Source organism: Homo sapiens, chromosome 10 (assembly GCF_000001405.40).
Source record: "Homo sapiens chromosome 10, GRCh38.p14 Primary Assembly".
Lineage (NCBI taxonomy): Eukaryota > Metazoa > Chordata > Mammalia > Primates > Hominidae > Homo > Homo sapiens.
In genome coordinates, this window is record NC_000010.11 from 98,246,722 (window position 1) to 98,268,208 (window position 21,487).

At 53.0% G+C, this 21,487-nt stretch overlaps 1 protein-coding gene across 6 annotated transcripts, besides 3 other annotated features; it reads right to left on the bottom strand.

Moving 5' to 3' along the window:
* Positions 1 to 968: 968 nt before the first annotated feature.
* On the bottom strand, positions 969 to 21,473 carry LOXL4 (lysyl oxidase like 4). 6 transcript variants are annotated; one of them, XM_047425835.1, is made up of 16 exons: positions 21,411 to 21,473; positions 20,910 to 21,101; positions 16,022 to 16,330; positions 15,314 to 15,492; positions 14,201 to 14,406; positions 12,670 to 12,708; positions 12,288 to 12,507; positions 11,260 to 11,443; positions 10,929 to 11,083; positions 10,059 to 10,226; positions 8,856 to 9,018; positions 6,832 to 7,075; positions 5,632 to 5,747; positions 4,845 to 4,981; positions 4,344 to 4,455; positions 969 to 2,270 (listed from the first exon to the last, which is right to left on the bottom strand). In XM_047425835.1, the coding sequence occupies exons 3-16, from the start codon at positions 16,296 to 16,298 to the stop codon at positions 2,200 to 2,202; spliced, it is 2,271 nt and encodes a 756-aa protein (XP_047281791.1). In that variant the 5' UTR covers positions 16,299 to 16,330; positions 20,910 to 21,101; positions 21,411 to 21,473; the 3' UTR covers positions 969 to 2,199. The 6 variants fall into 6 exon arrangements, with proteins under 6 accessions (XP_047281791.1, XP_006718083.1, NP_115587.6 ...); XM_006718020.2 differs by having other exon boundaries at positions 11,260 to 11,446; NM_032211.7 differs by lacking the exon at positions 20,910 to 21,101.
* Positions 14,763 to 15,652: an enhancer, noted in NCBI's record as "H3K4me1 hESC enhancer chr10:100021241-100022130 (GRCh37/hg19 assembly coordinates)". NCBI's record gives its function as "activates a minimal SCP1, AML or CMV promoter by ChIP-STARR-seq in primed H9 embryonic stem cells {active_cell/tissue: H9 hESC(primed)}" and the evidence as "EXISTENCE:reporter gene assay evidence [ECO:0000049][PMID:30033119]".
* Positions 20,419 to 20,920: an enhancer, noted in NCBI's record as "H3K4me1 hESC enhancer chr10:100026897-100027398 (GRCh37/hg19 assembly coordinates)". NCBI's record gives its function as "activates a minimal SCP1, AML or CMV promoter by ChIP-STARR-seq in primed H9 embryonic stem cells {active_cell/tissue: H9 hESC(primed)}" and the evidence as "EXISTENCE:reporter gene assay evidence [ECO:0000049][PMID:30033119]".
* Positions 20,921 to 21,420: an enhancer, noted in NCBI's record as "H3K4me1 hESC enhancer chr10:100027399-100027898 (GRCh37/hg19 assembly coordinates)". NCBI's record gives its function as "activates a minimal SCP1, AML or CMV promoter by ChIP-STARR-seq in primed H9 embryonic stem cells {active_cell/tissue: H9 hESC(primed)}" and the evidence as "EXISTENCE:reporter gene assay evidence [ECO:0000049][PMID:30033119]".

A 21,487-nucleotide genomic window follows, 5' to 3' on the forward strand; every position in this document is an offset into this window, starting at 1 on the left:
TAAAGTATGCTGAGATGAAAGTCTTTTGACATTTTTGGTTCTACCTGGAATTTGGTGGTTGGTATTCTGTTAACATTCCTCATCTAGTTATAAGTCATGCCAGCCACCAGTCTTCCCATGTCCTTCCCTTTCAGCTCAGAGTTGTAACAGCACAACCCTTGTATGGCCTTTTCCAAGAATTAGAACTGGCTGCACCTATCAAACGTGTAATGTGGGCAGCAAGGCTGAGACCAGAGCCGGTGGCTGGCTGCCTGGCCTGTTTTTTTGGTCCCTCTTAGAAACTGGATCCAGCAAGCAGCTGTGGGTAACCTCCCTGCTTGAATCTAGTCATCAGTCACCACATGCTCCCCTGCTAGCTGCACATTCTTTCACAGACCATTAGCTGCATGTGTGAGCATAATGTTGTTACTGTTTGGGGGATGTTTGCTGGATCCAACAGGAAATCAGTCCTTCCCTTGTTTACCTAAACTGCCATGCCAAAATATAATGCTCCCTCTGCCTAATGAAGGAGATGAGGGAGTTGAGGAGAGGGAAGGTCGGGGATAAGGAAGAAAGCACTTCTTTGTATTCACAGAGGGTTCCCCGGAACATGTCCCTTTTTACTCCCTAAGGAGGGGGTAGCTCTTGTGATGTGGTGGCTCTTGTGATGTGGTGGGGGTAGTGCTGTTGTAAATCTGCTCCATCTGCTACCATTTATTTTGGCTTCGCAGCCTTGATTATAAAAGTTTGCAATCCTCAGACTTTACCTTCTTGCCCCTATCCTTTACCCCTTAACCTTTCTAACCCGTGTTTCAGCTCTAAGCCTGGGGAGGCTGACTGGGAAGCAGACTTATGTCTGATTGGAGAAATGTAGATGGGCAGTCATGAGAAGCATGTGTGCCCTGTGTATCCCAGGCCCTGGCTCCATGGGAGGCAAAAGGGTAGGTCTGTGGTTCTGGGGTGTGTACATAATCACAGCTGGTCTGGTCTTTGTAGCAGTCCATAATGAGCAACTTTTATTGGCATTAGGGTGTCAGTCCTGTAAGGATCATCACTTAAGTGTGTCTCAGTGGAGAAAAGATCAAGAATCATGTCAAGAAGACCATGGGGTTTTATTCCACTTGAGCAAGAGCAAATCAGAGCCCCATCAAGCAGGAATGGTGGCCTTTCCCAGGTTCCATCCTTAACTAAACTGACTGTTCCCCCTTCTGATTTCTCCACGGTCTTCTGTCTCTTGCTCTGCCAAACTTGTTTTCTTATCTCTGTAGAGATGAGTGGCTTGTTTGATGTTCTTTCCATGGCAAAAATTTATTCAATGCAAAGTTCACTTCAGACACTTGGTTGAGACTTGAAGTTTAGACCAATCCTGAGATGCGTGGTGATCCTGAGAGAGAGCAGACTGCCTGCCAGGTAAATGGTCCATATTATTTCCTTGGCAGAGGCCCTGACAGGGGCTGGGGTCCGTGTTACCTCAGCAGTCTTTCTGCTTGGCCTACTCTTGCTGCTCTGTAGGAAGGCCCTATCTGGCCATTTCTGTGAAACTTGCCCCTTCTCAAGCACTCCGTAACTGTTGGTGTTGGCCCATCAGGCAATAAGGGGATGCCCGAGGTCTGTGCTTCCAAGGATAATAGAAACACCCATGTGTGTGGTAAGATAAAGGTAAGGACACTAAAGAACAGAGTGTGAGAGGTGAGTTCTAAATAACAACAGATGAAGAAAGGATTGGATCCACCAGCTTCTCTGCCAGTTGTGATTTTGATACAAGTTGTGTTGCTTTGAGCTCCTAGCAGAGAGCTAACACTACCTGCTGTGTATTTTGGTCCTCTGTCCTATACTCCTCCAAGACATTTGCAAAGCACCACTTAGATGGGGGACTGGGCCATAGTCCATCCCTAAGAAACTGAGAGCTCCTGAATCCCGGATCTCTGTGGCAAGATTCAGGGATGACTGGGTTTCCTTACAGAAGAGGAGCTCAGCTGAGCAAAGCCTGGAGGACATATTCCATAGGCCACAGGCCCTTAGGGGCAGGCCCAGAGCCATCCTGAGGGAGCAATACCATCTGGATTGGTGATCTTGCCATCAAAAGGCTTCCTGAGCAGGTTCTTGGTGCCCCTTGGCACTGGCCCTTTTCCTCTGAGTTGGGACTCTGTGAAGGGCATGGCTCCAATAAGCTGAGGTATCTGGTGTATCGGCAGCAGCTAGGAGTGTGCAGTGACAGCTTCAGATGAGGTTGTTCCTGAGACGCTGTTCCTGCTCCAGGGAGAGTTCTGCATTGGCTGGGTATGAATTCCCTGTGGGCCAAAGGAAAACAGGTAAGTAGCCAACCTTTCCAGTCTCATCCCTTCCCTGACAACTTACATAGATCCACTCTGCCCAGCTCATCCTTTATATCAAGTCATGGCATGGGCACAGACACCAATCATTTTATAGAAATAGGCCTGGGACAGGTGTGTGGTTTCAGGAACATCAGGAAGAACAGGCTATTGATTGGAAAGAGTTGTGCTAGTTATTCTCCTTTGCCCCCCTCCCCAGGTTCATTCTCTGCCCTTTTTTCCCTCTGTGCCCTAGGAAGCTGATGCCTAGCGATTACATCACTCTGGCTCCTTTGTCCTCTTTTTTTGTTTGTTTGAGTTGGGTCAATGGAAAGCAACAGCAGAAGGTCAGAGGGTGGAAGGAGAGAGGCCGGATATTCCTTCCCCTACTTTGGCCCTGTGGTTCTGGCAGTGATGGTCTGTGACTCCTGTTCCAGCTAGGTTCACCCTCCTTCACAACTCTGGCTTGCACCTGGCTGCAAAGCAGCCCTTGCCCCTCTTCAAGCCTAAAGCAGATAACGGTTTTCTACTTTCTTTATGCTTGATGTCTCAACACTCCTTGTTTTCTTATAAATAGTCCTTTAATTAAATAAACTCAGACTCTCACCCGAGTGTGCCTTCTGTTTTCCGCACACTTCTGTTTAGCCCTGTTGGATCCTAAACACTGGCAAGAGGACCTGCAGGACTGCATTATTTTTCTTGCCCTTGTCACTGCCTGGGAACCCTTGCAGCCTGATTCTAGCATTATGGAGGATCTGCTGTCTCCGTGTGCGTAGCCTTGGATTCCAGTTCCTGGTTCCTCTCAATATCCCTGTTTCATTTAAGTGGCAGCACAATCTACTCAGCCACACAAATTCGAAACCTTAGACTGTTCTTCCTCTTCTCATTTTCGTCCATCTGTTGCCACAGTTATTTTTTGAAAACCTAAATGATCTTTTGCCTCCTTGACTGAAATTTGTCAATAGTTCCCAGAAGCCCACGGGATAAAATCCATTATCTTAGAACTATCACAACCCTCCCTGCAAAAAGCTCTAGTACTTAGTAAGTTTGAAGTATACAGCCCCATTTTACAAAACAGAAAACTCAGGTCGTGATTTCCTCACTGTCCTCCAGCTAGAAAGTGGTGGGACTGGATTCGGGTGACGCCTTCCAAAGCCCAGTCCTGTGCTCTTTCTCTACTCCTCCCATGTTTGACTTTGGCTCCTCCTTCAAACCTCAGATCAAATACTACTTCTGTGAAGCTTGTGCTAGCCCCCAACAGGTTGCTTTCTGTCTGTGCTTGCTCAGCATTCAGTCCACACATTAGTAGTATTGGGGCTATTTGCATGTGTGCATACCCTATCTGACACTTACATTCCCAGTTTCTGGGGCACAGCGTTCAACACAATAGTGAGCCTTAGTAAATGTTTGTTGACTAAATGAACAACTCTGCCCCATCCCACCGCACATATGCAAGTATGAGTGAATGCATATCCCATAGCAAATATGGGCATTTTTAACCCTTGAAGATAGAGGGAGTCTTTACTGACAGAACAGCCCCTCTTCTCTGCCCCCACTGGATCATGATGCTTCCTTTGACTGATGCTACCAATCCTGTAAGTGGCTCTGTTTTCCATGGTCCCCTTCTTGCAAGCAGTGATCACAGCTGGAGACAGCAACACAGAGCAAGAGGACTACTTTTGCCTGTGAGGACCCTAACCCTAACTTCTATATGAAAGAGAAAGGAAAAATAATGGACTTGAAAATCCTGACATGGCTTGAGGTGACAGGAAAGATTCTAGAACAGATTGGAAACTGAGTTTACAATCAAACAGCCTTAAGTGCAAACAGGGATGTAGAAGATGTAGTTATTGGGTGAAGCCGATGGTCTGACCAGTTCTAGAAGTCTGCCTTGTAAGATGTCAAAGGAAATGCATCTCTGTTCCATCCATAGCCTTTTGCACACCACACACATACAAGTCACACGCTGGAGTGTGGGAGCAGAGGGTACATTTACAGTGTTCCAGCTCCCTGAGCCTATAGATGGCTGATTCCACAGTGGCTCGGAGTTACCTGTGTGGCAGTTGTGCAGCCAGACCCGGTGCCCATCATACTTGCAGCGGCACTGCAGCATATTGTTGGAGAAATCTGACTCTGCCACTTCATAGTGGGGGTTCACAATCACCTAGAGTGAAAGAGGGGACAACTGAAAATGGGTGATTTGGTTTCTGAATGAGTTGACTGTGGCTGTGATAATCCTTACATGTGTTTCTATTTGCTTCATTAATTCTTAACAATTACCCAGGAGGTAGGTACTGATGTTCCCATTTTACAGATAGGGACTGAGAAGTCCCAACTGAGAAACTGATTTATCCAGTGTTCACTGAATCAATACTCAAACACAGGTTCATTGGACCCAGCTTGACTGTTACTTCCCTAACAGGACAGCTCCTTTAAGTGACAGGCCTGTCGGAAACCCTGTATGGGAAATTCTTCCCTTCATTTGCCCTCAGGGAAAGTTGTGGAACATCTGGAGGAAATCAGGCTCTGTGGGGAATCCCCCAGCCGCCTTACCTGGAAGATATAATTCCCGGGGCCCACATCTGTGATATCCACCCACTGGCAATCAATGTCATGCCGGTAGGTGTCCCAGCAGCCTACAGTCACTCCCTGTTCTCCAAAGTTGGCACATGCGTAGCGCCGCTGCAGTCCTGTAAGGAAGGGGACAGACAGGTTTTGAGGCAGGACGAAGCACTCTGCTAGGTCTTTTATTTCCTTTACCAGTTCAGTGTCATCATGCCCAGTTCACAGATTAAGGACCGTCAGAGCTAGAATCCTGCTGTGAATCCAGCACCATAGCAAACCACATTGTGACAAAGATAGGATTTGTTTGACTGCTCCAGTGCAAATCCCTGTTGAACTAGGAACTGTGGTTGGGAGATTCCAACGCTCCCGTGCTAATTTACTTGTGCATCCGCCTATCCATCCTTCCAAACCTCTAAAGATTCAGTGTTTACCATGCAGTTCCTAAGGGTTAGGGACTGTGGGTGTGCAGACAGGAAGCAGGCAATGCTTGCCCTCGGAGAGCTCAGCAGAGATAGGACAGGTCTGCAACTCTTCTCCAAGATGGAAAGTGCTGAGTGTTTTAAAAGAAGAACAATGCGTGGGGAATTCAGAGGAAGTAAAAACCTCCTGCGTAAGATTTCAGAAGGTAAGAAATTGCCTTGAATGCTAACTTTTCAAGCCAGGGTCTCCAGGTGCCCTGGGCTGCTGAACAGGGCAGAGAGAAAGCCTGATCCCAAAGGGGCTGAAGAACATAACAAAAGGAGATGCTGATAGGTGCTGACAGGAAACCACATACCTGTGGGGCAGTTTGTGTCCTCCAGACAGAAGCTGGCCTTGTGCCCCTCAGCCACCTTGGAGCCATTGAGAGTGAGGAGGTCGTAGTGGGTGAAGACCTCAATGCTGTGGTAATGCCTGCAGAAGGGGTAGAGCTGTCAGTGCGGCAGCAACAGGAGAGGGTCCTCTCTGGAGGGGCTGGTAGGGAAGACAGGCCCCAGGCCCCATCATGACCCGAGAGGAAAGTTATAGTAGGCAGTGCCCTTCTCCCTCCCAAACCCGAGATTAGTGTGACGCACAGCCTCCTTTGCTGGCACCCCTGCCAGGCAGCAAGTACAGCTGCCCCCACCACCTAGGGTCTCAACCCAGGCAAGAGGTAGAAGCCCTGCTCTGGTCGCCTCCAGGAGGCTGGTGCCTGACAGCAAGGCCTGAACTGGGGGGAGAGGCGGGGCACCGGGTCTGTGAGCAGCCTAGGAGCTGACCTGCTGGGAAGAGGGTCCCTGTAAGCCTGGGACCAAATTGCTACCATTGTTTCCAATCCAGTTATAATGACAGCTCTGTTCATGCTACAGGGAAAGGTGCTTATTATCTCAGGCGAGACCAAGTCCCAAAGTCATTGCCCATTCCTTTCCACTTTCTCCACCCGTGGCTATGTTCTGAAGAAGAAAAAACAATTCTGCCTTTGTCACAGGCATTGTCTCTCCCTCTCTCTGGTCTGGAAGCTCCTGATAGGAAAGAATGTTCATTGTCACTTTTTTAGTGGCAGTCTGTTCATGCTGTTCTTTGAGGGCCTTGCCTTACTACTGAAGGAATCAGCGAGCTTTTCCTGCAGAGCCAGCACCCTGGATGGGATGTCTATTTTGGGCCCCCAGGTTCCTGGGAGTCCCCACTTTACCTGGCTTCTGAAGACAAGGCCTATGATCCAACATAGGAAAAGTGTCAAATACCATTCTAACAGAACAACTCTGCTGGCGGTGACGCCTCTATGGGATGTTGCTGTGGGAAACAGACCCCACGGGCACCATTGACATAGTGAAGGCGAGAGCGATGGAGGGGCAGGTGGATGCCGCTGTCCTCACTGCCTCCTGCAGGCAAGGCCAGCAAGGAGAGCGCACACCCCTCCCAGGAAAACTTGCCTGTGGCCAGGGAAGGGCCAAACTGCTCCCTGGACCCTGCTTTTTGTTCCTAACCCTCTAGTGCCAATGCATGGGCAGGCTCTAACCTGTGGCACTGGTGCCAAACCCAGCTATCGCGTCCAGTCTTTGGACGAAAGTCAGTCCGGCCCAGATTGTAGATCTGTGTGGAGAAGCGCAATAGGCGGCGGTATCCGTAGGGCCAGTCCATGTGATCCGCAGACTTGGAGAGGCAGTTCTCCTCGTGGGCACAATACAGCTGGCTGAGCGGGCGGTCCTCCAAGTAGGCCGTCTCCTGCACTAGCTGGGCGTTCATCACCAGGTCTGGTGCACCTGGGGCGGCGGAGGGCATGGCAGTGACTCAAAGGGTGGAAAGGCAGCCAGTCTTAGTCTCCAGCACAGAGGGCAAGCTTGCCCCCAGATTAAACCCTCCGAGAGGACCCCACAAAAGAAGGGCAGTTTTAAGAGTCAGGAGATGGTGAGTTCTAATAACATTTAAAGGAAGTCTATCACCTTAACCTGGGAGGCAGCTACAGTGTCATGGTTAGGCTTGCTGGTTTTGGAGCCAGGCCACCTGGGTTCATTCTTGGCTTACTTTCTGACTGTATAATTCACTAGCTCTATAACTGCTTAACCATTTTGTCTCTCATTTTCATCATCTGTAAGATGAAGATAATGGTGATATTAATCTGATGACACCTGTAACATGTCTGGCCTAAGTAAACATGCAGTTGAAGCTAGTATTTATTTTGTAAAATGCTTTTAAGCCTGTAAAGTGCCTTTATGTAGCTTAGTTCATATAATCCTCTCAAAAAGCTCTGCTGATACCTAACCTGGATACTTTGCCTGTACTGTCACTAAAAATCACTATCACTAAAGTAGTCCTGGGCGGAAGTGAGGCCCTGCCACACCACTGACCACAGCATGCATGCCACCTGGGCAGGCCGGCCGCAGCTTGCCCCAGGCTGGAGCCATCTGCATCTGGCAGTTGGCCATGTAGGGTCCTGTGGTATATATTGGAGAGAGCCAGGAAGTGCCCACTGACAAACCTAGAGTTTCTTGGTGAAAGAAGGCGAGCTTTCAGAGAGAATGAGAAGAGAGAGTAAAGGAAAGAAAGCAATGTGAAAAGCCAGGGAGGAAAAACAGGTGGTTACAGAGACTGCAGATTGGCTGACTGTGCCAAGTTGTCGTGAAGGATCAAATGTGTTCAAGAAGAGCGCTCCCACTGTAGGCAGTGGAGCAGGGAGGGGTTCGAGGTTCCCAGGAAGGGGAGTCAAGTGAGGAGCAGGCTCCCCACGTGCTGGGAGGCCTTGGTGATGGGGAGGTCCACTCTCATGCCCCATCCCTGCAGGGGAGGGTCTGATGGATGGGCCCAGTGTTCTCCCCAGGGTGCCCTGGACAGAGAGGAAGCCAGGAGCTCACTGACAAAGATGAAGGATATCTTGGTGTCGAAATTTGGCCACGAACAAGGTCAAGTGGCCACTTGGGTTGATGCTATCTGTAACCTTTGGGCTGGATATAGTCCATCTTGGCACTGACCTGGCTGGGAGATGTCAGAGATGCTGCTGCCCTAAGAATCTGGGTTTGTGGGGCAGAGCAATGCCACAGATGGCCTTGTCCCAAAGTCTTTTTGGGTAAATCCCACAGCTCAGGAAGAGAACACACAGCTGGGCCTTGGCCCCGGGTGTGCTCATATTTGTATGTCCTCTACGACAGCTTTCAAACTGCTTTTCTGACTACAAACCACAGTAAGAAATACATTTTATGCTGTAACCCAGTATACACATAGTTCCAAGGAAAAACTGCCCTTGCTGTTTTCTGTCCTGTTTCATTGTTTGTAACTGTTGGTCATAACCCAAAGTTGAAAACCGCCGTTCCGTGTCCTTGTGCTTCCTCATGTTCTCAGTGTTCTTTCTCACAATAACTCCGTGAGGGGGCAGGGTATGGATCCTGATGGGATGGGTGATTTGGCCACACAGCTGGGAAATGGCAGAGCTGGTACTTTCATTCCCCCATGCTGCTGGCCATAGACCTGGGACCAGCATGCAGGGCCCTCCCTGAAGGGGAGCACAGGCCTACCTGTCCCCAGCCCTGTGAGCCCTCCGTCACTCACTGTCCATGCAGGAGACTCCAGCCAGGAAGCGCCCGCCACCGTGGGAGCAGTGCACCGGCCCGTGCCTCTGGCACTGCTGCAGGGCCAGCTCTGTGCCTGAGCAGCGCACCCCACTCATCACCACCTCCTGGGCCCTTGGCGTCCCCGACCAGAACCAGGTTTCCTAAGAAGACAGCCAGCGTCACCCAGTCAGCGTGCCTTTGGAGTCACCTCCTGACTCCCATCTGAGGTGTGGCCTCAGTCATACCACCCCCACCGGGTTGTGTCCAGCCTGGGCCTGAAAATCTTCAGTGATGAGAACCCGAATTCCCTGGGGCAGTCCATGACACATTTGGACCCTTCTGATGTTAGAAATCCCCACCACATATGGAGGTAAAAATCCACCCACCGTGGCTTCCACTACTGGCCCTACACCCCTCTCTCTTCCAGATGGCAGAGGAGGGTCCTGTTCCCCGCCCCTCTCCCTGGGGGCTGTGCTCACATTTCCCCAGCTGCTCCTCAAGCGGCCCAGATCGTCAGTTGTGCTCAGGGTTGCCCAGTCCACACTGTGCGGCAGCCAGTGTGGGTGCAAGTGCAGAGGTTTCTCTGTTGCGGTCATGCCTAAGTCCTCTTGATTTTATTTTTTGATGTATTTTAGATCTATCCACTTATTTCTCCTGGACTACCTGGTCCAGTCCAGCCTCATTTCTCACCTGGGCTACTACAATAGCCTCCTGAGTGTGTTTCCTTGCATTCATGTTAATCTCCACCCAACGTTTTCCAAACAGCAAAGGAAGAAATCTTTCAAACATGTGGATTGCAAGCTTTGAGTGATCTTGCCCCTGCCTCCTCTGCCCTCATGTTTGACAGCACTCTCGAGAGAGAGCCACACTACAATCCCTGGCCCTGATTTCCTCAGCTGAATCAAGCTTTCTCTGGCCACAGGGCTTTTGCATAAGCTATTCATTCCTCCTCCACCTTGTCTGACTAATTTCTATTCATCTTTCCTGCAGATGCAAATGTGTCCCTCATTGACGATTTCATTAGGACTATGTCTTCTTGTTTACCACACTGTTCCCAGCACTCAGCATCATGTCGGCTCATAGTTTCACTCAGTAATGAATTGCCAAATGGGCAAAGAGGCAGCAGCTTTAGCACAGGAAGTTTTGGGCCTCAGAACAGGAGGGTGAGAGGTCATACGGAAGAAACAACAGAGGGACCTACCTTGTAGGCATGGATGGCAAAACCCAGGCCGAGCTGTCGGCAGGCCACCATGGCTTCGGTGAGCCCCCAGTTTTCACTGCACACGCTCCCCCAGCGTGGGACCCCGTTCACCTCCACCTGCACCTCCAATAGCCCCTCCTCAGGGATACGCCCACCAGCCAAGCGCACCTGCAATGGCGAGGGGTGTGTGAGGAGTGGGGTAGCCTTGCAGGGAAGAGCTCAGGGCTGCGAGCCTGGAGGTCTGCCCAAGCCAGCTCACTGTGTCACCCTAGACAAGACAGTCCCCTTCTCTGCCTTGGTCTCCTTCTCTGTAAGGTGAGGACAGTGTAGCAGGTAGTCTCTAATGTCCCTGCCTGCTAGAGAAATCTGACTCAAAGTGCCTGGACCAGGGGCTCCTCCTGCTCTGGCACTTGCCCTCCACCATTAACGACAACTGGCAATTTGCAAAGGGCTTTCATGTCCCTTGCCTCATTCACAGTGACCCCCTGAGAGCGTGAACCCCATTTTACAGTGGCACCAGTGACTTGCTCACAGTCCATGTTAGCACTGACACTTTGCCCTGAGCATCCCACACAGACTCCCTCGTGCCGACAGCCCTGTGGCCCTCTTTCCCAGGCACCTTCTTTCTCAGCTTCACAGGGGACCCGAGACGGGTATGGGAGAGCACATCCATCTGCAGAGCCCCTGTGGCCTCTGACATTTCGGAGGGGCTGCAGCCAGGTCGGCTCTAAGGGAAGGCAGACTGGTGCCCAAAGCAGAAGCGCTAGCCGCTCCTCCTGGACCTCTCCCCGCTAGCTCGATGTGGTGTCCTGGGGACTCCCCAGGGTTTCCCGGCCCCCAGCCTGAGGCCATGCTCAGACCCAAACTCACCTGATTCTGAAAGCCCATGTTAGGGACATTGCACCTGACAGCAGCATCATTCTCATGTTGGCAACCATTCTGGGACCCTTCCAGGGCAGGGCAGTCGCTGAGGGTCCGCTCATATCCCCTGCAGCGCACCTCACTCAGGTGGATGGGCCCTAGCCCTAGATGGGGAGAGAGGTGCTGTGTGCGAGGCTCCATCTCCGTAACCCCACACTTGTGGCTTCCCCTTCACAGAGGGGGATAACTTTCTGTCCTGGCCCTGTCACCCCAGGGCCTTCAAGACATGGACCAGTGGCATATCCAGGCCTTCTAACCCCTCCCAGGCTGTCTCACTCACCTTGGCCCAGCCGGGCCCCAAAGAGGGCCTCCCGAGCAGAGCCAAAGCCCAGCTGACGACACACGACACTGGCAGAGATGAGGTTCCACCTGTGGTCACAGACCGTGCCCCACTGGCGGTTCATGAGCACTTCCACCCGGCCCTCGCCCACCTGGGCCCCGGAGCGCAGGCGCACCCTCGGCTCCTGCTGGGAGAAACCTGCTTCAGGGACGGCTGAGGAGGAGGCACCAGCAGGGGCTGAGCCCCCACAGCGGGATCCCCAACGGGGCTCCTTCAAGTTCCATGGCGGTGGCCAGAGCCAAGGATGGGGAGTTCCAGTCCTGCTTCTGACTTCCCATAGCTGTCACCCTGAATAAGCTGTTTTTCTTGATCTCCATTTCTTCAATGACCAATCACCCCCACAGCCTCATCAAGGATGCCGTCTCAAGTGTGGCGCTAAGGCATCTGTACCACCTCACAAGGCCATCTCAGTGTGGCACTAAGGTGTCTGTACCACCTCACGAGGCTATCTCAGTGTGGCACTAAGGTATCTGTACCACCTCACGAGGCCATCTCAGTGTGGCACTAAGGTGTCTGTACCACCTCACGAGGCCATCTCAGTGTGGCGCTGAGGCATCTGTACCACCTCACGGCATCTGTACCACCTCATGAGGGCATCTCAGTTTGGCACTGAGGCGTCTCTACCACCTCATAAGCACTTGCTCATCTCCTCTTTAAAACAAAGGAGCAGGCTCAGGAGCAGGCTCAGGATCAGTACCAGCCCTCAGTGGAATGTAGTTAGGATTTAATTACTGTTTTTACGGTCACCTTCTATTCAAGGCGGGTGATGTCAGCTTTCCATTTATGGTAGGGCTATAAATGATCCCTTTTAAATACATTCCAAGGTTCTACAGTTCTGTGATTCACTCTCCTCCTCCCAGTCTGGTTCCTCTCTCCTGCGTGTCCTGGACCTCCCCGCACCCCCCACCAGGCAGTGTCCCGCCCGTGCCTCCAAGCTGTGGTGTGAGTGCAGGATGCCCAGGGCTCACCTCTGCCCAGGACCCTTTGCGTTGTGGCTTTGTCTTCGGTGGGCGGAAGTGAGGCCCTGCCACACAGCTGACCACAGCGTGCATGCCACCTGGGCAGGCTGGCCGCAGCTTGCCCCGGGCTGGAGCCACCTGCACCTGGCAGTTGGCCATGTGGGGCTCTGTCCCCAGGCAGGTGACCTGGTGGATCCAGAAGGAGTTCTTATTCGTCAGGCTCTTCAGCCTAGAGGACAAGGGAGACTGAGGGTGGAGGAAGGGCTGAGGGAAGAGCTTCAGGACTAAGGGAGGCCAAGGTAGAAAGGAGGGAAGGGGAGGGTAGGGGATGGGATAGAGGCCCTTCATGCCACACCCCTTTGCCTCCTCCCTCTAGGGTGCTGCTCCTCACCTAGACTTAGGGTCCCTCATCTTCAGATCCCAGACTTTCCTGTTATGGGAGAAAACAGATAGGAGGTGGAAGGGGTGTGGAAGTCCCACCCCCTGCCACCTGGTTCCTCATAGTTGTCCTTAAGTTTGCACAGGACTTTACATTTTGTAAACTTATTCACTAATCTGATTTCAATGCTGAGCTTCACAGCAGCCCTGACGGGGTGGCCACCTCACAAATAACCATTTTACAAGGAAGGCAAGCAAGGTCCCTCGGCCAGTCCTAGAGTGGGGGCAGGTGGATCAGGCTTGCCCTCTCCGAAGTCCAGAGGAAGGGGAGCATTTAGGGAGGGCCCAAGAGAAGGGGCCCTCTGGGGACAGGTGGGAGGTGAAGGCCTTGCTGGTGGGGGCGGCCCGCCCAGAGACACCCAGGCTACCATCAGGCCTGCCCTCCTCATGGGTGGCAGGCAAGTCAGCGAGACCCAGGTGTGCAATTACCAGGCAGGGGGAGTCAGGCTGCATCCCAGGATCCCCAAGGATGGAGCCAGAGGCTGACCAGCACCCCTGTTTCCTCAGAACGGGGTTCCTCTAAGTCACTGCAACAAGGGCCTTCTAACCCTTTAGGGAAGCAGGATCAAACTGATTGGGGTGGCAGATGACTCAGACGTACTACGGGAGACTTCTCACTTGATGGGAAACACACAAGTCCTCCCTGACACGGATCTGGCAGAACCATGACTGTGGCTGTCGTTTACTGGTTGATGCAATCAGTTGTGACAGTTCCGCCTTGTTTCTGACAGAATATTTTTATGTCTCCTCTCTCCAGGTGCCCCACCCCACGCCTCACTTACACACAACCCAGTCACAGCCTGGCTTGATCAGAGCTGAGGAAATTCAGGAGGGAAGCGTTGGGATATTCGCAGTGGAATTGAGGATGGAGGCTCAGAGGCCCTCCCCAAAGCCCTAACGCCAGTCACTGGCTGAGCTGAGGCCAGAACAGTTTGTCTAAACTCTACACGTGGGTGTCACTGCAAGTATCTGCAGGAAAGTCTAGTGTTTTAACCAAGGACACGCGGTTTTATGTTCAACTGTTTTCACCGGGGGCGGGGGGTGGGGGGGCGTTCTGTACCTAGTTAATTCTGTTTACATAATTCGAGAGTGCAGTGTTTGTTTTCTGACTGTTTCTAGGTATTTCCCAGGATCCTGAAGGTCCTCCTTATTCACTTTCCTGTTTATTATTCTGAGGCACCCGTGAAGCAAGAAATCTGGGCACATTCCTCAGTAGGGCCTGTTTTCTCTCCCCCAATCCCAACACCTGCTGGATGTCCTGCCACAGACAACACCACTGCCAGTCAGTACTCACTGAACTCTGCGAGGTCCCACATGCCACACACATCACACACTCGCCTGTGTGCATACTTACTTGCCCCTCACATGAGTCCACACTCAGACTCATGCACACACCCTACATCACATGCACGCACATGAACACACACTCAGTCCCTGCCCCACAACCCTGCCTCCTGTGGGGCCTACGCCAGCCGCCCTCCTACCTGTAGTAGTGGCTGTCGACAGGCACCTCGCTGGGGAAGCCCAGCATCCCGCACACCACCCTGCTGTTGTTCATGGTCCAGCCCTGGTCACACACCTGCCGCCAGTGGCCCTCATACTTCACCTCCACGGCTCCCTCGGTCACTGGGCTATGCTGCTTGGCACTGGCAAGGATGGGCTTGAGCCGCACCTCCTCCAGCCGCCGGCCCTGCGGGGTGCACAGTCACCTGTGGGCCTCGGGGCTCCTGCTCCTCCAGTGGAGCCTGCTGCAGATCTTCATGCAGAAAGGCTGGGGCTTGGAGCTTTTCGAGACCATCCCACCCAGCCCGGTCATTGAACAGGCCAGGAAACTGAGGCCCAGAGAAGGGGAGGCATTATCAAAGGCCACAGAGTAAGTGCAAGGCAGAACCTCAGCTTGTCTAAGCCCTTTCCCTCAGTTCCTCGAATTTGTCAAATTGGAGAGAACTAGGCAGATCTGGCCCCCGCTGGGATCAGGATGGGAGCCCTTGGAGTTTGGGAGGCTTTTGCTGGGCATGGAAGGGCCTTCTCTGTACCACCCTGAGAGAGCTGAGATGGGCATAGACCAGCTGCTTGAGACCACAGCAGGATCCTATGGCCCACAAGAACCCCCAACCCTAGCCCTGGGATGACTTAGACCAGTACAGAGTCCCCATCACAACACGCTGCATTCAGTGGCCATGGCCAGCTGTCCTGAGGCTGGAGGCTGCCTGGCAGCAGAGCCCTGCCCTGCCCGCTCCTGTTGTTTGGCTTGGGCTGTTTTTAGCTCAGGGTTGTTTGTGCTGGGAAGAGGCAGCAATTGTGGCCAGGCCTCATGGATGAGGGAGCCCCTTACCCAATGCTGTCTCCCTTACGGGAGCAGCTTCTGCGATTCCCAGTGGGGTCAGCTCTGGTCCTCTGGCCTGCCTTGCCTCAGGCTGGGGCCCTCTATTTATGCACCTGCTGCAGGGCACACTCAGGAGTCGGCGGCCTGGGGACGATGCTCAGTGCAGACTGCACCCTTTCCCCTCGCTTATCCTCTAGGCCCGTCTTCTGGGAGGCTCTCTGTTCTCTGACCCAGCCCTTGGCTCAGACCAGAGCCTGAACAGCCTCCTCACCTGGGGCCCAAGGGCATTGGAGACAGTTTCAGAAAGGTAGCCACGATGGCGCCGGGGGTGGCATATCACCCCTACGTCTTCTGAGTGACTGCAGTCACTGACTCCCCAGCCATTAGACCCGCACTGGTCCAAGGAGCTCTCTGTGCCCACACAGCGCACATTGTCCAGCCAGATGGGTCCTGTGGAGTGGAGGTGATGCTCAAAGATGGCACAGAGAGGCAGGTCACAGGCTCTGCCTCCTGCATAGGACCCCACACTTACCAAGTCACCTCTTCCAAACCCTGGGAGAAAGTGGCAGGGAGGAGGAAGTTTGGGTCTCCTGGGGAATAAGTATTTATAACCCTGCCTGCTACCTCCTTTGGGTGCTGGCTCTTAGAGAATCTGTTTTTGGAAAATGCCGGGTAGCTCTAGGAATCAGACCTACCTGTTTGCCCATTTTTTCATTCAACATTCTCTAAGCACCCACTGTGTGCCAATTGCTATGTTCAAGGAACTTAGAGTTTAGTGGTGGTGACGGCGGTGGCCTTATTACAAGAGAGAATGGGAGGGTGGGAGTAGGGGCCATGTGCAGCTGAGGCACTCAGGAAATGCCGTGTGGAGGAGGTCACATGAGCAGGGTATTAAAGGATGGGTGGGTGTCAGTGAGCCCAGCCCAAGAAGACTGTTACCATCTCCTTGCCATCCCACTAGGTGGCACCAGTCACTCACCCTCCCCTTGGCCGTACTTGGCACTGTGGGCCCAGGTCAAGGCAGCTTCGAAGCCCAGCTGGCGGCAAGCCACTGTGGCCTCCTGGATAGCAAAGTTGTCATCACACACGGTGCCCCACTGGCCCTGGTGCAGCACCTCCAGGCGGCCCTCCTCTGGCTTGCTCTCTGGGCCCACCAGCCGGAGCTTAGTGGTGCCCAGTGACTGTGGCCTGCTGGGAGGGGGCTGGCCTAGCAGCAGCAGGAACAGAAAGAGGGTGGCTGGTGGGGACCACGCCATGGTGACTTCAAGGACAGCTGAGGCCAAGATACCTGAGGAATGAGTAAACATGACAGTGATCACCACCTCTACCCAGATCTCAGACCTCTGCAGCAATTTGGCAGCTCCTGGCAAGACAAAGGAAAGAAAACCCCCCTCAAATGTGTGTGTGTGTGCACGCGCACACACACACACAGTGGCATTAATTGAGTCTGGGCCAGGTTAGCTGATTTGGTTCAAATCCACCACATTCGCCATGACCTTGAGGAAGTTTAAACTTAACCTCACTGAGTCTCAGTCTCCTCATCTGTAAAATGGGGATAGTAATCTCCATCTCACGGTGTTGTTGAGTGTTAAATAAAACACCGTATGGAAAGTGCTTAGCAAAGTCCTAGCATTGGTGAGTACACAATAAACAGCAGCTCTTATACACCTAAAATCTTATGTGTAGGCAGACGAGGTGGTCCACCATTTGAGTCACGGGGATGCCCCCAGGGTGCCCTCAGGTCAAGACTATCTACCCCAGGGACACTGCCACCACCTTCTGATGTTCCTAGCACCCTAATCAAATGTGTGAAGTGCCGCCTTCACCTAGAAGGCACATGGAAGGCTGGAGCAGAAAGGGCTATTAGATGGGCATCAAGGACTCCACCACTCATTGGCTGCATGGCTTGGGCAAGTCTCTTCAACTCTCTAGGTCCTGACTCTTTCTTTCTTTTTTCTTTCTTTCTTTCTTTTTTTTTTTTTTTTCGAGACAGAGTCTCTCTCTGTCGCCCAGGCTGGACTGCAGTGCTGCAATCTCAGCTCACTGCAACCTCCGCCTCCCAGGTTTAAGCAATTCTCTGCCTCATCCTCCTGAGTAGCTGGGATTACAGGCGCCCACCACCACGCCCAGCTAATTTTTTTGTATCTGTAGTAGAGACGGGGTTTCACCATCTTGGCCACACTGGTCTTGAACTCCTGACCTCGTGATCCATCCGCCTTGGCCTCCCAAAGTGCTGGGATTACAGGTGTGAGCCACTGTGCCCGGCCCTGACTCTTTATTTCTAAAGTGAGGAGATGGAACCACATATCATCTGGATCCCTCCTGCAGCTTGGATACCCTGTGATAGCCTCACATCCATCTAGGCGTATGATTCATGTAGATTCAATACACATTTTTGGAATACTTGCTTCAGGCCAGGTGCTGGGACACAGAAATTAAGACATCGAACACCCTCCCTACCTTCATGAAGCTCAAGCAAGAAGAATTAGGGAAGCCTTTCAAAGAAGGGACACTTAACCTGAGCCTTATTGGGCAAATAAGATTCTCCTGGGTGAGAAAAGGGGCATTCGAGATACAGAGAAGAGGATTAGGAAAGAGGGAAAGAGGTGAGTTTGTGCAAGAGCAGGAAGTGCCCTTCTCTTACCCCCAGACCACAGTGTGGGGGTTTGGAGGGGAAAGAGATGGAGGGACGAGCTGGGGCCAATGATCAAGGGCCATGTGTACTACACAGAGGGTTTGCCTTCATCCTGTAGGAAGCGAGGGGCCAGGGGAGGGTTTCAGGCGGTAAACAGAGAGGGCCCCTGTCTCCAGGAGGCTGTAATCAGACGTTCTTTGGGTCCTTAGAGAGGGGATGAGGCTGGGGGCAGGTCCTCTCCCCCTCACACAGCAGCCTTGGTCCCGGGACCAGCAGGTGGAGAAGGGCATAGAGGAGAGAGTCTCAGCTGGTTAGAGCTGTCAGAGACCTCTGGAGCCACCGAAGCTGAAGCTCCTCCACCCCAAGGCTCTGCTGCCGATGGAAGCTAAGGCCGACCTGGAACAGGGGATGGAGAAGATGGGCTAAGAAAGCTCGTTCTGATGAGACCTGCCTCTTCCACGGCCATGGCTCCTCTTGGGGAATCATGCAGCTCATCCGCTTGAGTGGGGAGGCTCTCACAGGCCCCTGCCACTCTCACTTCCATGGATGGCATCTGCCCTACTCCCTCTCAACGGCCTTGGCCAGCAGGGCTGGGTGGAGTGGGCTCCTAAAAGTGCACTAAACAAGTTCTGGGAATGAAGCTCCATGGGAGTGGGGATGTGTTGTGTCCCCAGTTCCCAAAATAGTGTCAGGTGTGTAGGTGGCACTCATTCATATCTGTGGTTGCATGGATGGGAGGTGGCAGCACAGTGCTTGAGAGCACAGGCTGGGCGGTCAGACTGCTGGGGTTCGAATCCTGCCTCCACCAGTTCATTTGGAAGTGATCTTGGGCCAGCGATTTAGTTTCTCCCTGCCTCAGTGTCTCCCTCTGTAAAGTGGGGATAATAATAGTAACTACCTCATAGGATTTTTGTAAAGATTAAGTGAAGAAACATTAAATCCTTAGAAGAGCAAGCCTTCAGTAACAATGAACTATTATTATTATTATTATTATTATTATTATTATTATTATTATTATTTTTGAGACAGATTTTTGCTCTTGTCACCCAGGCTGGAGTGCAATGGCACAAACTCGACTCACTGCAACCTCCGCCTCCAGGGTTCAAGTGATTATCTTGCCTTAGCCTCCCAAGTAGCTGGGATTACAGGCATGCGCCAACATGCCCAGCTAATTTATCTGTATTTTTAGTAGAGACAGGGTTTCACCACATCAGTTCTTGAACTCCTGACCTCAGGTGATCCACCCGCCTTGGCCTCCCAAAGTGACGGGATTACCAGCGTGAGCCACTACATCGGCCAACAATGAACTATTATTAACAGCTACTGTGACAGCGACGATAGAACCGTTGGTCTAGATTGGTCCCACCTCCTCTCTGTACAAAGAAGGAAATGGAGGCCACGTCCGATCTCAACTGCAAGTCCTTGGTACTCCTCTTTGCAGCCTTCTCTAGATTTGCCCCTTTTCCCTCCACCCACACTGCAGAGCCTAGATGCTCCCCTCTCCACTCCCTGAGGCTGTGCAGGGGCTGCCTTCCCATTCTCACCTCTGCAGCTCTCCCCCTCTGACCCCTCCCACGCTTCCTTTCCAGACTGAAACACTGTCTTCTGCATGTCACTCAGAGGCTTGTGGGGGCTCCCAGCTGGCTGTCCCATGAGCAGAGTGCTCTCCATTGTTTCCCATTCCCTCCTCCGTGCTCCCTGGAGTAGGAGGTAGACAGCCAGGGACTGAGCCAAACCACTCCCCAGATGGCAAGAAAGGATGGGACAGATCGGCCTCAGGTCCCTCAGCTATTAGGACCCAGTGGTCACATGGGTCTGGGCTGAGTGACAACCACACCTTCTCTACCACCCCCAGGAGTTGGAATGCTTCTATCTCTGCCGCCAAATTGTGTCTGGAGTCAAATATTTTCCTTTCTCTGAGTCTCAGCTGAAAAACCTGTAAAATGAGGGGGTGGCACTAGACAGCCCCCCTATCCGACATGCTCTGATGGGGCCCAGGGTAGGCTGGGCAGGTCTGCTGTTTGGCTCCTGGCTGAAGTCCCTGACACACTGAGGAGGTCTTGTTACAGGCTGTGGACAGTCCCAGGCCAGCAGCTCCTTCCTCTCCAAGGGACCAACCTGAGGGCATGGGAGGGCTTCTGCTGTAGGACCCTGGGGTCTGGGCCAGGGAAGCTCCCTTCCATGAACGCTGCTGGAAGGTGGGGGGACGGCAGCGGGAACCAAGAGTTAGATGCAGGGAGAGTCCCTCTTATTGGCCTTCCTGCCCACTATAGGCCCCCGAGAGCTTTTGCTCACACCAGACTATAGCCTTCGTCTCCCAGCCTCCAAGCCTTTGCTCTCACTGTTCCTTTCCCTCTATCTAAGACTGTTAAACTCCTACACATCCCACAAGGCCAGCTCAAATGCCACCCCCTCCATTAAGCCCTCCCACAAAGCCTTCCACAAAGCACATTGTGTGTTTGCTTCCTGACCCCACAACCAGACTCCACCTGTCTGTTCCCCTAGCACTGAGCACAGAGGACCAAGCTGTGCATCCTCCCTCAGAGAAGGAAGCGGCCTCGAAAGTGGCCGTTACTTTCCCAAATAAAGGAGAAGGGGACAGAAGAGGGAAGGAAGGTGGAAGGGAAAGAGGAGGGGAGGGAAGTGAGGATAATAACTATACATTTTAAAATACGGATTAAATACTTATCTCCATTTTACAGATGAGAAGGTAAGGTCCAGGGAAGTCAAGTAACTTGCCCAGCCAGGATTCAAACCCAAGCAGCCTGGCTAGACGCCGGACTCTCAAAACCACCAAGAATGGATGTTGGAAGAGGGGGAGGAGGAAAGGAAGGCCGGGAGCCGACTGAAATTCCACCCTGTTCTGGTGGATTTATGACCCAGGCCGTGGTGTGAGGGCACTGGGCAGGGTGCTCTTCGCTGAATGCCGAGTGACAGATCCAAGATCTTGCCAGCTTGAGGCACAGAGGCACCTGCTCCAGGTGTGCCAGGAGATGCTGGGACCTGGCCTGACCTAGCGCAGGTAGGGAGGGCTGAAGACAGCAAATGCCCGAGTATTCAAGAGAGAGCATGGGGGGTGCTGTCCTGAGGGTGCAGCAACTTTAGGATGGCTCATCCCTTCTCTGCCGTTGGGCAGCTCTTCTCAGCAGCCTCCTCTCAGCCCTGTAGCCTCCCCGGGGTTACTGACTCTGTGGACCTGAAGCAGTGCCAACAAATGGTCTCTGAGCTGTACCTGTCCAGGCTAGGAAAGAGGGGGCTTGAAGTCTTCTGCCCCCTTCCCTTCGGTGTTTCTGTCACACGCCGACCCCCCAACATAATCAGCTCCGGTCTGGATAGTTGGAGAGCCCAGATCAGCCCTGGTTCGTTGTCCCCCAAGTCGTAAGTGTGACATCTGAACCCGCCTTGCCCCTTCCCTGTCTCCTCCCTGGAAGAAGGCAGAGCAATGGTTACACACGGCGTGTACACAAACAAGACACGCAGGCACCCCTGAGGCCTGGGCGCACCACTCAGGGCGGGCCTTGGGCCAAGCTCCCCAGCGTGGTCACTTGTCCAGTTGGAAGCAGGTTGGTGAGCGACTGGAGGGCCGGGCTGAGGGTCCAAGGGATCCCCCATGCACCCTAGGCCCAGTCTCCAGGAACCCTCAGAGGCCTGCAGACTCACAGAGAGACAGAAGGACAGATGGGACAGCAAGAGGCAGACCAAGAGGCAGACGCGCGGCCAGGCGGGGGCTCACCAGATGGAGCGCGGACAGTCCGGGGCTGGGCGGGCGCCGCGGCGGAGCAGCGCTAACGGGCTCCCTCCCCGGGCGCC